We start from the raw sequence: 14,143 nt of genomic DNA, 5'->3' as shown, positions 1-14,143 counted from the left end.
AGGAGGAGAGACAGAGGAATGTGATGAGGAACAACAGTTATAAAGCTAAAATTCTGATTCAGTCTTGATTAAAATGAAAAGAAAACATGTTCTGACAAGAAGACTTCAAAGGATAATCTGCTTGGCATATCTTGATAATTCAAAACACTGTATTGGTTATTTCCATTCTTAGCAAGAGAAGAAAGAAGACAGAAAACATCAATATCCCAATGGTTGAAATCACAATGACCAAGAAGCAAGCTTAGAAATAAGCTAGAAGGGCCAAAGGTTTTATTTAAATTAAAAACTTTACATGCCATGTCTTGCTGTTATGAATTAGATTCTCTCGTGAACATTTACAAAAATAGGACAAGAGGCTTTCAAAGATATTCGAGTCTTAACTCCAAAATTTTGTTTGATCACCCAGGTCTGAACTCTCTTATTGCATAACTAATGTATATCATACATAAAATGACACTTCTCAGGAAATTTCATTTTTTCTTTAGCTATAAAATATGATAATTTTAAAAAACTCTATTTTCTCATTTCAGCTGTAGTTAACCTCACCAGCCTTGTGTTAATTATAAACATACAATTACATGTAAGTATAGATATAGATGTAGACGTAGGAATAGATATATTAATTATAAAGATAGACTAACATAGTCATAGGCATAGATATACATTTAAACAAAGGTATGATATTATGAGCTCTTCTGTTGATAAAAAAAAAAAGTTTAAGTCCCTTTGGGTGTGGTTTACATTGGGCTTGTAATAGATTTTAATCAAAACACAATACAACACAAGTTTTTAATCTGAACTTGATTTTTTCCATAGTGTATAAATTAAGAAAGGGACAAATGAGAGATGGGATAACCCATGGTGTTAAGGGCTACAGAGAGGTCAAGGGAGGAAATTCCAGGAAAGGACTCATTCCTGGATGACAGGGAAGTTTGATGGTCTTTTCAAGTGTGCTGCACAGAAAAAGATGTATGAGAGAAAATGAAATTTCAGGGAAAGATTAGGTGGTGAAAAAGTAAAAGCTTGCAAAATTAAGAACAGAAAAAGTGAGGGTGTCAGTCTTACGAGAAAATTCTTTTGGAGAAGATAGGAGAGGAGAGAAGGGGGAGAGATGAATACCAGTGTATTAGTGAAAGATAAAGGGAAATGTTTAACATTGAGCTATTAGCTAGTGTTATCAATCATAGTCCCCCATTTTTATCTGTTTTTGACCTATTTCCATTTTCTTTGGGCTCCTCTGGGAACAAAGATATCTTTGTGAAGCCTTTACTCCCTTTCATCATTTAATAATTGCTTCTACTTTCCAGAATTTACTAAAAAGGCTATTTCTCAGCCCTGGGAATGTACTGGCATTAAAGGTGAGAAACAGAAGCTGTACTTTGAGCTCTTCCAAAGAAAATCACTTCAAAAATCAAAGGCATTGCTATATTGTTATTATTCTCTCCTTCCCCTGAAGGCTTGGCATGACATTATTTTCAATGCTCAAAGAGAAGTCTTTTCGTTTAGCCATTATATTAATAATCTGTGACTCTAAAAATGGAATGGATATATAAACTGATCAACCTAGCCTAATAATCTCCTCTTTCCCTTAGTTTCGGAGCTATGGATCTGAGCCAAGAATCAGAAATAGGAACATTGTAACTCATTTCATCTTCCATGTAAATCACATCCAGCAGTGCATAAATTGTGAGGGAGGGCATAGAGCCAAGTCCCATCAGCTCTGTGCAAACCGATCCACAACCTCAACAGGCATTGATAGCATGAGATGTTAATTCATGAATAATCTTTCCATGTTTTACACTGTTATATAACCAGTTGCTTTTTATAATGATATTGGAATAATGAACAATTGGAATGATGAGTTGAGGACAAAAATATGAAGTTATTTTTTAAATAAGTAATAAATATATCTAAGAAAAGTACCAGTTATTCTCTATCAAGACAAAATTGAATGGATCTTAACAATACTCAGAAAAAATAATAACTAGTTAACTCCTAGTCAACATTTTCCCCACTTAGATAGCTCCTTATATCAAAGGTATCACCCATAGCGAAGTATCTAATAACAGCCTGAGGGGAAAGAATGTTTTAAACTCCAAATGTAATTCATACATGGCAGTTCATGTAATTGGAAGTCATCTGTAGATGAGCAGGTTCTAAAATAAAACATTGTAGCAGTAGGTAAATGTGATTCCAAGTTGTGACTGCTCAACATGTTCAGTAATTTGATTTAGTTATAGATAGGTAGACAGACAAGCAGACAGAGATAGATTAGATAGATAGACAGATAGATAGATAGATAGATAGATAGATAGATAGATAGATAGATGTAATGACAGATATAAAAAAAGCAACTTGAGCTCTTTGTGTCTATTGACCAACTACAGTTTATTTACATCCTTATAGAGCCCACTCAAATTATTGCAAAATACATGTATTTCTAAACATATCCATTACTTGGAAATGAAAGAGACATTAGAAGTCTGCACAGTAGAGGAAAATTCTATAAAATAAACCAATCTAATATGAAATAAGCACAGAGTTTAAAAATATTTTCTTTTCCAATAGTCAGAATTAGAAAAACTGATCCCATTGAAACATGAAAATATTCTAGATGTTGAGACATAAAAACATCTTTGGATACCTGAAAAGTAAACTAAATAGGAGACCTGTTTTTGTTTCTGAGTTAGTGATGATATCGATTATACAACATGATTCTTTAAAGACCAGAGTGTAGGCTCCATGTTTTGTTCACTGATATATCCCAAGATCCTAGAATAATATCTGGCACACAGCAGTGTTTATTAAATATTTATTACATTGAATTGTTGCTGGCATTCCTAGCATGGAAATTGTAGAATAAGGTGTCCTCTACCTGATCTATCATTTAGTTATAACTATTACTCTCAACAAAAAATAAAATTAGAAAATATTCATTTGTCGCTTAACGTTTATGAACAACTTGCCACACATATCCTCATCCAGTTCTCCAGGTTCTGCACAGCCTGGAGGCAGCTGGGCATCAAGAGCCCACATTGGAACCCCTGTCTGATGCCTGACTCTGTTCTCTCCCACTGTCACTGTTAAGGGTTGTGTCCCCTCTGCCCCCAAAATTCACATGTTGAAATCCTAATCCACAATTCCTCAGAATGTGACCTTGCTTAGAAATAGGGTCATTGCAGATGTAATTAGTTCAGTTAGGATAAGGTCATACTGTAGTAGGACAGACATGATTAGTTGCTTTATAACAAAGGGAAATTTGGACTCAGACGTGCACACAGGGAGAAGATCATGTGAAGATGAAGGCAGCGATCAGGTCAATGCTTGTACCAACTGGGCAATGTCAATGATTACCAGGAAACCACCAGAAGTTAGGGGAGCCCTAACAGTCCTCAGAAGGAACCAACTCTGCTGAACCCTTGATTTTGGACTTCTGGCCTCTAAAACCATGAGACAATAAATTCCTGTTGTTTAAGCCACCCAGTGGCACTTCGTGGCAGTCTGTGGCACCCAGTTTGTGGCACTCATTTATTTTGGCTCTAAGCAACCCTAGCAATCTAATACAGCCACCTACTCATTCCTAGCAGTTTGTCAGATGTCCTATCAGGGTACTTGGTAGCCCTGACCTTACAACCACTGGACACTCTCCTGTACAGAGCTGAGAGTTCATGAGATTGCCTCCAATTTATCCCAAAACATCCACAATTATATGTTGTCAATGTCTGACATGTTCTTCCATCTAATGGCACAGCAATTACGCCTGACACCTTTCCCTTACCGTCTCCTGGTTCCTGTGCTCGAGGAGGCATTGTAACCTGGAGGGGGCGGTGGAAACCAGGACTGCCTGTTAAGAAATGACACGGTAATAAACATTGTGATTGAAAGGCTGATCCCACCCACATGTCTGAAAATAATTTGACAGTTAAAAAGACAATGAGATTATACCAAACCTTGGAAGTAAAATGAACACTATTTCATAAATGAAGTAGGAAGTAACTGTCCTATATTCTAGGCTATCTGTTCCTCCAAGTAAACCTCTTTTCTCATTTCCTTTAGCACTAAGTAACGTGGACATCTCTTTTAAAAAGAAATCTAAAGCAAATCTAGAAAACAATGACAATTGTTAAGTCTAGATAGTAAATTCATATATGTTTATTATGTTATTCTCCTATTCTCCCTATTTTTCTGCTTGTCTGAACTATTTCACAACAGAAATAACAATCTTATACTCTACTCTATATATATATATATATATGTTTTATTTTTATTTTTATTTTTGAGACGGAGTTTCGCTCTTGTTGCCCAGGCCGGAGTGTAATGGCGCGATCTCCGCTCACCACAACTTCCGTCTCCCGGGTTCAAGCAGTTCTCCTGCCTCAGCCTCCTGAGTAGCTGGGATTACAGGCATGCACCACCACGCCCAGCTAATTTTGTAATTTTTAGTAGAGATGGGGTTTCTCCATGTTGGTCAGGCTGGTCTCGAACTCCCGACCTCAGGTGATCCACCTGCCTCGGCCTCTGAAAGTGCTGGGATTACAGGCATGAGCCACTGCGCCCAGCTTCAAAATATAATTTTTTTTTTTTTTTTTGAGATGTAGTCTCGCTGTCTCCCAGGCTGGAGTGCAGTGGCGCGATCTCGGCTCACTGCAAGCTCCGCCCTCCGCGATTCTGCTGCCTCAGCCTCCGAGTTGCTGGGACGAGGTTTCACCGTGTTAGCCAGGATGGTCTCGATCTCCTGACCTCGTGATCCACCCGCCTCGGCCTCCCAAAGTGCTGGGATTACAGGCTTGAGCCACCGCGCCCGGCCTCAAAATACAATTTTTAAAAAACTGTGAGCGAGCTAGGCGCAGGGCCTCACACCTGTAATCCCAGCACTTTGGGAGGCTGAGGCGGGTGGATCACGAGGTCAGGAGCTCAAGACCAGCCTGGCAAAAATGGTGAAACCCCATCTCTACTAAAAATACAAAAATTAGCTGGTCGTGGTGGCATGTGCCTGTACTCCCAACTACTCGGGAGGCTGAGGCAAATAATTGGTTAAACCTGGGAGGCAGAGGTTGCAGTGAGCCGAAATTGCACCACTGCACACTCCAAAAAAAAAGAAAAAGAAAAAAGAAAAAGAAAAGAAACTGATAGAAAACTCTGACAAGTAAAAATATTGAAAGCGTAAGTGAATATTATAGCAGCACTACCTTCAGTTCTAACCTCAATTAGAAAGATGTCCTCACATCACTAGGTCATAATTTTAGTTGGTAGCAATTGCTAAGCAGAAAGATCAAGATATGGATGAAAACTGAAGATATTCAGATGAGAATGATATGCACTACAGAAGAAAAGGCAGACAGGAAAGCTGGATTTAAATTGTTTAAGTAGGTCTATTCTCTGAGCCGCTGCAGAACTCAACTAAGACAAGGAACGAGTCAATCAAGGCAGATTCCAGCTCAATGTAAGGAATAGATGCTACCCAGGAGAGCAAGTCAAAGATGTGTCCCAAAATAGTGAGAATCTTATTGATGGCTTCAGTGGTCCCGAATTATGCCCAAAATGTCGGAGGAAAGATTCTTGCACTAGATAGGAGATGGAACTGACTGACCTAAAATTTCTCTTTCAAACTTAGGAATCTGTTTTTACTAGGCAAAGGGTCAAGGGACATGAAATTTGGGTTCAATGGAAAGATGAATCACATTTTCTAAGACTTTGCAGCTACAGCCAGAATTTTGTTGAAGGAAAAAACAGAATCAGTCATTTTTCTCCAGCAGCACCATGGCAAAGTCAGCCAGTCCATCAACAAACATTGAGCACCTACCCTGTACAGAGCATGGACCCAGGTACAGACAGGGAAATTGAGAAAATTTAAAAGCACTGATGTTTGTAAATGCTTGTTTTCCATTTGCATCACAATTCATAGCCCTGGGGTTTTTTCAACATGCAAACATCTCTTTCACCATCATGTTCTGTCTCATGAAGAATATTTGGTCACCATTGGTCCAACTACTCCTCTGTACCTGCTAATTACATAGGACTCAGCACCAGCAGAATGTGGGAGACCATGCAGAGGAGGTCGGTGGAGGAGGCAAGAACCAAACAAATACAGATGGATGTCTCCAGAAAGGGTCTTTGACTCTGCATTTGGAAGCAAGGCCAGCCCAATCCACAGAGCAGAGGCGGCATCTCCAGATACAGGCCGGTTTCAGGAGCATGGCAGCATGTGGCCCTACATTCATCATTATTTCAGGTTAAGGCATTCCCAGCAGCAGGACTCCATGAAACATGCTACCTCAAGTAGTCTGTCATTTAACATGCGAGCTCTATCATCTAAAACATTTCCTAGAAATTCAAGGCCCTACAGGAATTGAAAACAAGACTCTATATTTGAGAAAGAGATTGCTGGGGGAAAGAGCTGAAGTTTGGGAACAGCAGAATGTAGATGCTGGATCCCCACAAAAAAGAGGAGGAAGCTTTCTAATGCAGTCTTTCATAGTGTATCAGCAAGAGGTAGACACAGTGAGTTCATCCTACCTCTTCTTCTTTACAGGAGTAGTAGCAGAAGTGGATGCTATGGTGTTGGAGGTGTTGGCATTCAATGAACCGCCAGGTTGCCTGTTTAATGACAAGAACAACAATTAATCCCACTCTCAAACTTTTTCATTTCAGCCTACCTTTGAAAAGTCTTAAATTCTACTCATATTCCTGCCTGCTCTCTGTTCATAAAATGTTTCACTTGGGGATAGAAAAACAGCCAAAAATCTTCTTCCTTAGTTGACATATTTTAGAAGTTGTCAGGTTCTCATAGAACTAGCTAAAACTAAAGGAATAGAATAAAGAAGTGATTCATAAAATGACATTAACTGTCGGAAATTCAGACAAATCAATTCTGGCGTGCTACAGATTCACATTTCTTTTATTCCTGTGATTATATTGTGACTAACTAATTATGTTGCGGTTTTTTGCATTAGAAGCATTATTGCTTAATAAAAAATTTTAAATCATACCATCTTAAGTCTCTATCTGGCATTTATTCATATATGCAGAGCCTCAAAAATGGAAGTGACCCAGGCCCATTTCAAGCACTGAGAGGTGTGATCCAGTGTATAAATTACTTTATACATAAATAGGAATTCAAAAATAAAGTAAGTTTATAAATCTGTCTGATTTGGGCTGCTTATAACCATCAGTAGTACATTCCAGGGAAAATGTGTTCCATTTAAATAGATTTTTAGCTCACCCCATGTTTTCCCAATTCAATTTTCTCTGAAGGAGGAGGCATAGATGTGAAGGGTGGGTGGGGAAGGAAGTGAGGTGTGGAGGAAGGGTTAATTATTGTGAGAGTAGAGGGAAGAAAAGTCCTGTAGGGGAAAAAATAAGGAGTCTAGATTTTAATAAAGAAGAAGAAAGAAAGGATGATCTAAGCTTTGGTGTTTGGATAGAGTAATGATTGGCAATCTTTTTTTTCTGCAAAAGTCCAGATAGTCACATTTGAACCTTTACAGACCATTTTGGTATTGTCTTCTACTACTCAACTCTGCCAGAGCAATAGGGGCATGGCTGTATTCCAATAAAATTGGCCTGAGGTGGTTTTCCCTGGTTTTTCTTGAATACATAAAAAGAAATATACTACAATTAGAAAGAATACATACAACTTTGTTACTTCCAGTGATCTAAACATGGACATGCTCCTGGTAAGAGAGAAAGAAAGCAAAGTTTGAACAATGAAGAATGAACATTTGCATCTATTTGGAATTATTCCTGAATTTAGAGTTTTAAAAGTTAGACACTGGTGAGAGAAAGAAATAGAAAGCATCATATTTTAATAAATTTCATAAGATGATTTCATGATTTTGTCTCTTGTACTAGATTCCAAAGAATTTTTTTTCTTCTGAAAATTTAGTATCTTTTAAGCCCAATATTTTTATTTGTTGGGTTCAGTAATTTTCCTTAACAATAATAATGTAAAATTTGCATTTGCACCTATTTCATAATTTTGCCACCAGGACAACTTAAACAGAAACATAAATGTGGTAAGAATGGTGATTTGGAGCTACAAGTGCTCTTGATTCTTAAGCTAAACAACAAGGTTTTATTCTAGCCATGAACAGGAGTAATGATAGAGACTAAGAATTTACAGAAAGATATCAAGTAGGATTGAAGAATTGCAAGTACATAGGTAACACTTAGAAAAATATTATACTTGAGCCTTTCCCATAGTTAGTAGATACTGGTACCTATTGGTTAGTTGGTTATCCAAGGTATTGGCCTTATATGTTTTAGCAGCATCATTTCTGTCTGAGATCCTTTATAAAGAAACAAGACAAAAGTCTGGATAAATATTTAAATTATCAAACTCCTTTCAGACCATTTTCATGCTAGAATAGCTTAACAACATAGCCTTTCTCTAGTAAAGAGAACTATTTTTCAAGTGTTACATTTTAGAAAATTTTTAAATAAAAAGAAACCACTTATGACAAAATCTACTTATGAGGTTGTTTTAATATAGTTTGAAATTTTATTTTATTTTTTGAGATGGAGTCTTGCTCTGTTGCCCAGGCGGGAGTGCAGTAGTGTGATCTCAGCTCACTGCAACCTCTGCCCGCAGGGTTCAAGCTATTCTACTGCCTCAGCCTCCTGAGCAGCTGGAACTACAGGCACGCACCCCTACGCCCAGTTAATTGTTGTATTTTTAGTAGAGAAGAGGTTTCACCATGTTGGCCACACTGGTCTCGAACTCCTAACCTCAGGTAACCCATCCGCCTCCACCTCCTAAAGTGCTGAGATTACACGTGTGAGCCAAGGCACCCAGCCTGAAATTTTAAGTGTTATGCCTTTTGCCTGTTTGTCTTTCTGACTCATTGAGCATTTAACTCTATTTTCATTTTCATTATTTTCTAATGATATATCTTGTCAATGACAGTACTTCCTATGTCAGTAAAAGGCATCAATGAACTACTTGGCTTTTTTTTTAAGGTTTGTGGCATAAACAATATTATGTGTTTGCAAAACACATTTTCTTTTCTTTCTGAGCAATCAGGGAGACCACATTTTCCAACCTTCATTGCAATTAAGTTGGGGCCATGTGATTGAGCTCTAGACTAAAGAGTGTGGGCAGATACGTTATCTGCCACTTCCAGACCCATTGTAAAACCTCCTGGTGGTCTTCCTTGTTATTTATTCCCCCTTCTACTATGGCTTTGGTATGCATGGCAGCATAAATATGGCGGCATTAAAATATAGAAAGAACTTAGGTCCCTGAGTCACTTCATGGACTCCAGCAAATCACATTGGACTCTGATGTGTCAAGTAGTACCTTATAGTGTGTTAAACCATTAGATTTGGAAGAGAGGAAGCAGATTTGTTAAAAAGTTACTCTACCTTGACAAATTAGTTTACTTTGACTAATACATGTAATGAGTCCAAATGATCATTAGAGATTTTAATCATTCTAATCTCATAGATCTAGAAAAGGTGTGTTCATCTGCTTCTTGAGTCAGAAAGCACAAATAAGGAAGGTTATCATTATATGCCAACGGTGGGATCTCATAACTTCGGCCCCTGTTCCTTCTTTCCTTGTCTCATACCTAGTACTTCTTGCTGGTCATTTGATATGTTTTTTCTACTCTCTAGAACATCCCTACAAGGTAGGTATAATGATTTTCATTTTATAGATAAATAAATGGAGTCTCAGAGTTATTGCATGGCTTTCTCTTGGTAACACAAGTAGAAAGTAGTCTATCTCCCAAATCGTTCACTGGGATCCAATGTCATATATTCGATTCTGTAGTATGATTGTTCCCAAAACTCATATATTAGGTTAACAGACCTTCCTTTACTCTTTAGTCACCTCTCATAGTCTCTATCATGCTACCCGGGGAATAAGTCTATCAATGGTAATGGAGAGAACTCTAAACCACCATTCCAATATGTATGTTGATTTCTTATTGCTGTGGGAGATTAATTTTGTATTTATCCTGGAAATTAAATTTCTGTCAACTTGTGATATAAAATAGGTTGTTTTAATAAAAATCTGTCTTGGAGACTTGAAATACCAAACAATGTAATTAGCAGCATGATCAGAAAAGCCGAAGGAGAAGTTATACTTTCACAATGGAGCACTAGAGGGCCTCCTAACCTAGGTTTTCCAAATTAGTTATAACCCACTGTCTCTGGATGCTACATACACATTTATTTATGTCTCTTTTGCACACCTCACATTTTACACACATAAGTATATTTTAAAGGGAACTTTTCAAACGTAAACTCAGTACTTTTCTCATATTCATTAAAACAAGTGCATCATTATTAAAATGCAAATGCACACATACCAGATATATTTGATCATCTTCCTCCTAAAATTATTTCATGTCTTACATTTTGGAGTGGTCTGTATTACAGAAGTTCAGCTCCTGCTAACAGGACTTGCCTTTCTTTACTAACCCCTGTGTTCTCTTCCTCAAATCTATTTCCACATTTAGTGCCTTGGGAATGAGCTGCCAGGATACTTTGCCCAAACATACCACTAAAGTGTGTAAATAGATCATGTAATCTCTGGGCCTGCTTTTGAGGGTATAAAATGAAGGGCTTGAGCTATATTGGTGGTTCTGAATCTCAGCTGCACATAAGAATTACTCTATAAGCTTGAAAAAAAATGCTTGAGTTCCACCTCAGGCTAATTAAATCAGAATTTGGGGAGTGAGGGGTAGTAGGACCAAGGCATCAATAAAGTTTAAGAGCCCACTCAGTGGTACTAATTTATAGCTAAGGCTGAGAATGACCTAACTACATTGCCTGTGAGGTCTAGTCTATTTCCCACATTCCTAGGCTGTATCTCGGCTGGCCTGACATAAACGTTCAGATGCACAGCCTACAAAAGCTTAGGTTTTCCACCTTACTTGAGTCTCAATTATCTCACTTTAAAATTCATTCCTAGAAATAGGGTTTCCTTCTTCAATTAACCATCTGCAAGACCAGGATGAATGGACAGAGGTATTTTATATACCTCTTCTCTATGCACCGCTGTGGAGATGAGATCTTGTACATATACTACAAACTCATTTTTGACAAGGATGATAATTTTTAAAAGAGAAAGACCAACTCTTTAGGATACCAGCATTGATTGTCCTCTATTAGGGTGACTGACTTGAAAGCCTAGGAATAATGCAGAAGGTATATACATTTGCTACATTAATCAACACTGGCATAGTCTGAGTTTAGAATCTATTGGATGCTGTAAGTTACCATGTATTTGCTTAAAACCCAGTAGGTGCCATTTTTGCCTGCAATTGCAGCACATCTTTAGCTGCAGGGAGTAAACTCAACTAGCACTGGCTTTGGGTACTTATGGTGCCTATTTAATAGGAGTCCAAAAGACTCCTATTAAAGATGCTAACTTTGTCCTTTACTTATGCTTACTAAGCGCCTCTACCAAATCTAAACTAAAAATTTGATTTGTGGCATTTATACTTCAACCTGAATAGAAGTTGCCCTATTTTCCCTGTAGAGATGAGCCCTTTCCCTCCATGTAAGAAGGAACTAACAGGAGGCACACACGTTGGACTCATTCTATCAGCCCTATGGAGACTCCAGTGTCAAAAGAGTATTTTCACCTTCTAAAGAGAAAGTAAAGAGCTAACGTCTCTGTCCTGGAGTGGATTGAAACTATTGTATTATTAAAATTTACAGTCTCTCCATAAAGCAGTTGCATGGACTAACGTTTTTCCACCATCAGTGTGGAAGAACCAAATGTTGGAACAAGGATTATACATATTCGCAAAAAAAAAAAAAAAAACCTATATTGAACTAACAGATTCTGCACAGTACCCACCCTAGCTGTACTCAAATCAGTGTCTCTAAGAATATTTCATATCAATCTACTATTAAAAAGATTTTGGAAATGCATCTAGCCAAGATTTAGTGAGATCTGAAGAAGATAATTCAATTCTTAGAGCCCTCCATCCCTGGGAATAAAATATCAGTGATTCAAACCTTATTTTGGTAAACTTTTAAATACTTCATAACTTTATTAGAAAATGTATTTAATATGTTATGCATTCCATTTATATGGTTCAAAAGCCCCTTACCTGTCCAAAGTGTCATCAGAACTGTACCGACTAATTGTAGCTTTTGGCACATCTCTCTCATTTACTTTCCTGTAGCAAACATAATTACCAAAAAAAAAAAAATCAAATCAATTACAAAAAAAAAGTTTATAAAACCTATCATACATATGGCAATATTTTGACCTATTTCAGTAGGAAATATACATGTTACCAAGGAAAGATAGATTTCTAATACCCAAATCTTCCAACTTGGATAGAATAAATTATGGAAAATCCAATATCCTATGCTAATAAAAGATTCTTCTCTGGCTTCTATTATTTCTGACAACAATGTAACATATTCAAATTAGGGGTAAGGATACGTAAATCATACAACACAACAAACAACACAACACTCAAAATGTTTAATAACTAATATGTACTCTTGTCAATGTTGTTTATTTCTACATAATAGGAACTCAATCTTTTATACTCAACTATATTTTGTTTGCAGAGTTTTAGCAGTGCCATAAACCAGCACCATGGACTAAATCCATAAATGCTTTGTTTAATATTCAGCACCGTGGACAGGGTTGAAAGAAGGGAACTTACAGGCAGAAGGAGGGGAAAGACAGGAAAGAAAGGAAAGGAAAGGAAGGAAACAGGAAAAGCTGGGGAAAATGAAAAGGAGAAAGTGGGAAGTGAGAGAAAGGAAGGATAGAAGGAAAAGAGGAAGAGAGAAGAGTGATAGGAAGAAGAAGAGGAGAGACAAGGGCAAAGAGAGGAGAGCAAGACAGATGAGCAAAAATGGGGGGGGAATTTAGAAAATAACAGAAAAGAGGATAGAAGACTCAGTAGAAGGAATCGTGATCATGGAAGCAAAGGAAAGATCCTGATCAGATTGATCAAACATTTAAAAAAGCCTGTTTAATGCCTCATATAACCCTATGATATAAAGCAAGCAAGCTCTTTGGAGAATTCCCCATTATTTATTGTGTTTGTATTTCTAAGTATCATTTAAAGCCATCATATCCAAAGTATTGCATTAGAATAAGTACTAAGACTAGATACTAAAGATTTAATTTTAAAGTTGATGTGGCATATTTTCATTAAGCAACTATTTGGATGTACTCAATATAAAAAGGGCTAGGAATAGTGCAAAAAGCATATTTGCTATATTAGTAGTGGAGAAAGTAACATTTGCTATATTAATCAACACTGTTGTACTGAGAAATATAAGGAAGTCTAGAATAAAATAACTATAGCTGCTATCTACACAGAGCAAGACGGATAAATCAGGTATGTACATCCAAAGACAGAAAGTAGTGAGTGCCATAAAAGAGGTTTGGGTAAGGTGTAAGGAAGTTCTAAGCTGAGAAAGCTGATTTCTAGGTATACAAACCAGAGGAGGCTTTATGGAATGAAGTGCAGTTTGAGCTGGGCCTTGGAGGGGAAATAGATGTGAACATTTTCGAATAGAGGTAGAGGGAACAGCATCAGTTAAGGCAAGAAAAAGAGTGAAGAAAAATGCCAAATACAACTCCCCCAATTTTTAATACAACCCCAGAGTGAAATCATGGTGTGGTTCACCATCGTGTGTAAATGTGTAAATGCAAGCAGGTGCCGGAGGGCCATCTGTCCCCTTGCAGAAAACAGCCCCTCCCCAGACACCATCACTATGTCTCTAGGTGGCCGTTGTCTTCCTACTGCTTATCACAATAAGACATGTTTCAACATGTTATTTTCATTCTCTCCCCTCCCTCACTTTCAACTAGGATGCAAGTTCTGTGGAAGCAGGGACTTTGTTTTGTTTGCAGCTCTTAACACAGCTACTGATGCACAGGAGGCCTCCTACAGGTGCTATTTGGCTGTCATCCTTATTTGACATGTTTAAATGATCTACCAGAACATGTACATGGTCAAACTTTCCAATTGTGGATAATATGAAGGTATTATCTAAGGTGATGACAGTGTATTATTTATTTTCCTTTATTTTCAGACCCCACTCATGCCAGCTCTCTGCACACATTGTCATCTCTGCTGGAAGTGCTTCTTTCCTTGCTCCATGCCCACCAGCCAGCCTTGCCCATTTGGGAAATTTTTCCTCATAATCCTTC

At 37.6% G+C, this 14,143-nt stretch overlaps 1 protein-coding gene across 25 annotated transcripts in view; it reads right to left on the bottom strand.

Annotated features, from left to right (window-relative positions):
* Positions 1-14,143, bottom strand: part of SCEL (sciellin) — a 109,558-nt gene that overhangs the window by 69,296 nt on the left and 26,119 nt on the right. For 18 of the 25 annotated variants that reach the window (NM_144777.3, XM_011535290.2, XM_011535283.2 and 15 more), the window contains exons 5-9: positions 12,069-12,137; positions 8,220-8,288; positions 7,635-7,673; positions 6,517-6,597; positions 3,779-3,844 (exon numbers count right to left, since the gene is read on the bottom strand). In NM_144777.3, coding sequence (NP_659001.2) covers positions 3,779-3,844; positions 6,517-6,597; positions 7,635-7,673; positions 8,220-8,288; positions 12,069-12,137 — 324 coding nt within the window. The remainder of the gene's footprint in view (positions 1-3,778; positions 3,845-6,516; positions 6,598-7,634; positions 7,674-8,219; positions 8,289-12,068; positions 12,138-14,143) is intronic. The other 7 variants (XM_006719884.2, NM_001160706.2, XM_047430711.1 and 4 more) reach the window with 4 other exon arrangements.

Source organism: Homo sapiens, chromosome 13 (genome assembly GCF_000001405.40).
Source record: "Homo sapiens chromosome 13, GRCh38.p14 Primary Assembly".
Classification (NCBI taxonomy): Eukaryota; Metazoa; Chordata; class Mammalia; order Primates; family Hominidae; genus Homo; species Homo sapiens.
This window is presented reverse-complemented; position numbering and strand designations above follow the sequence as displayed.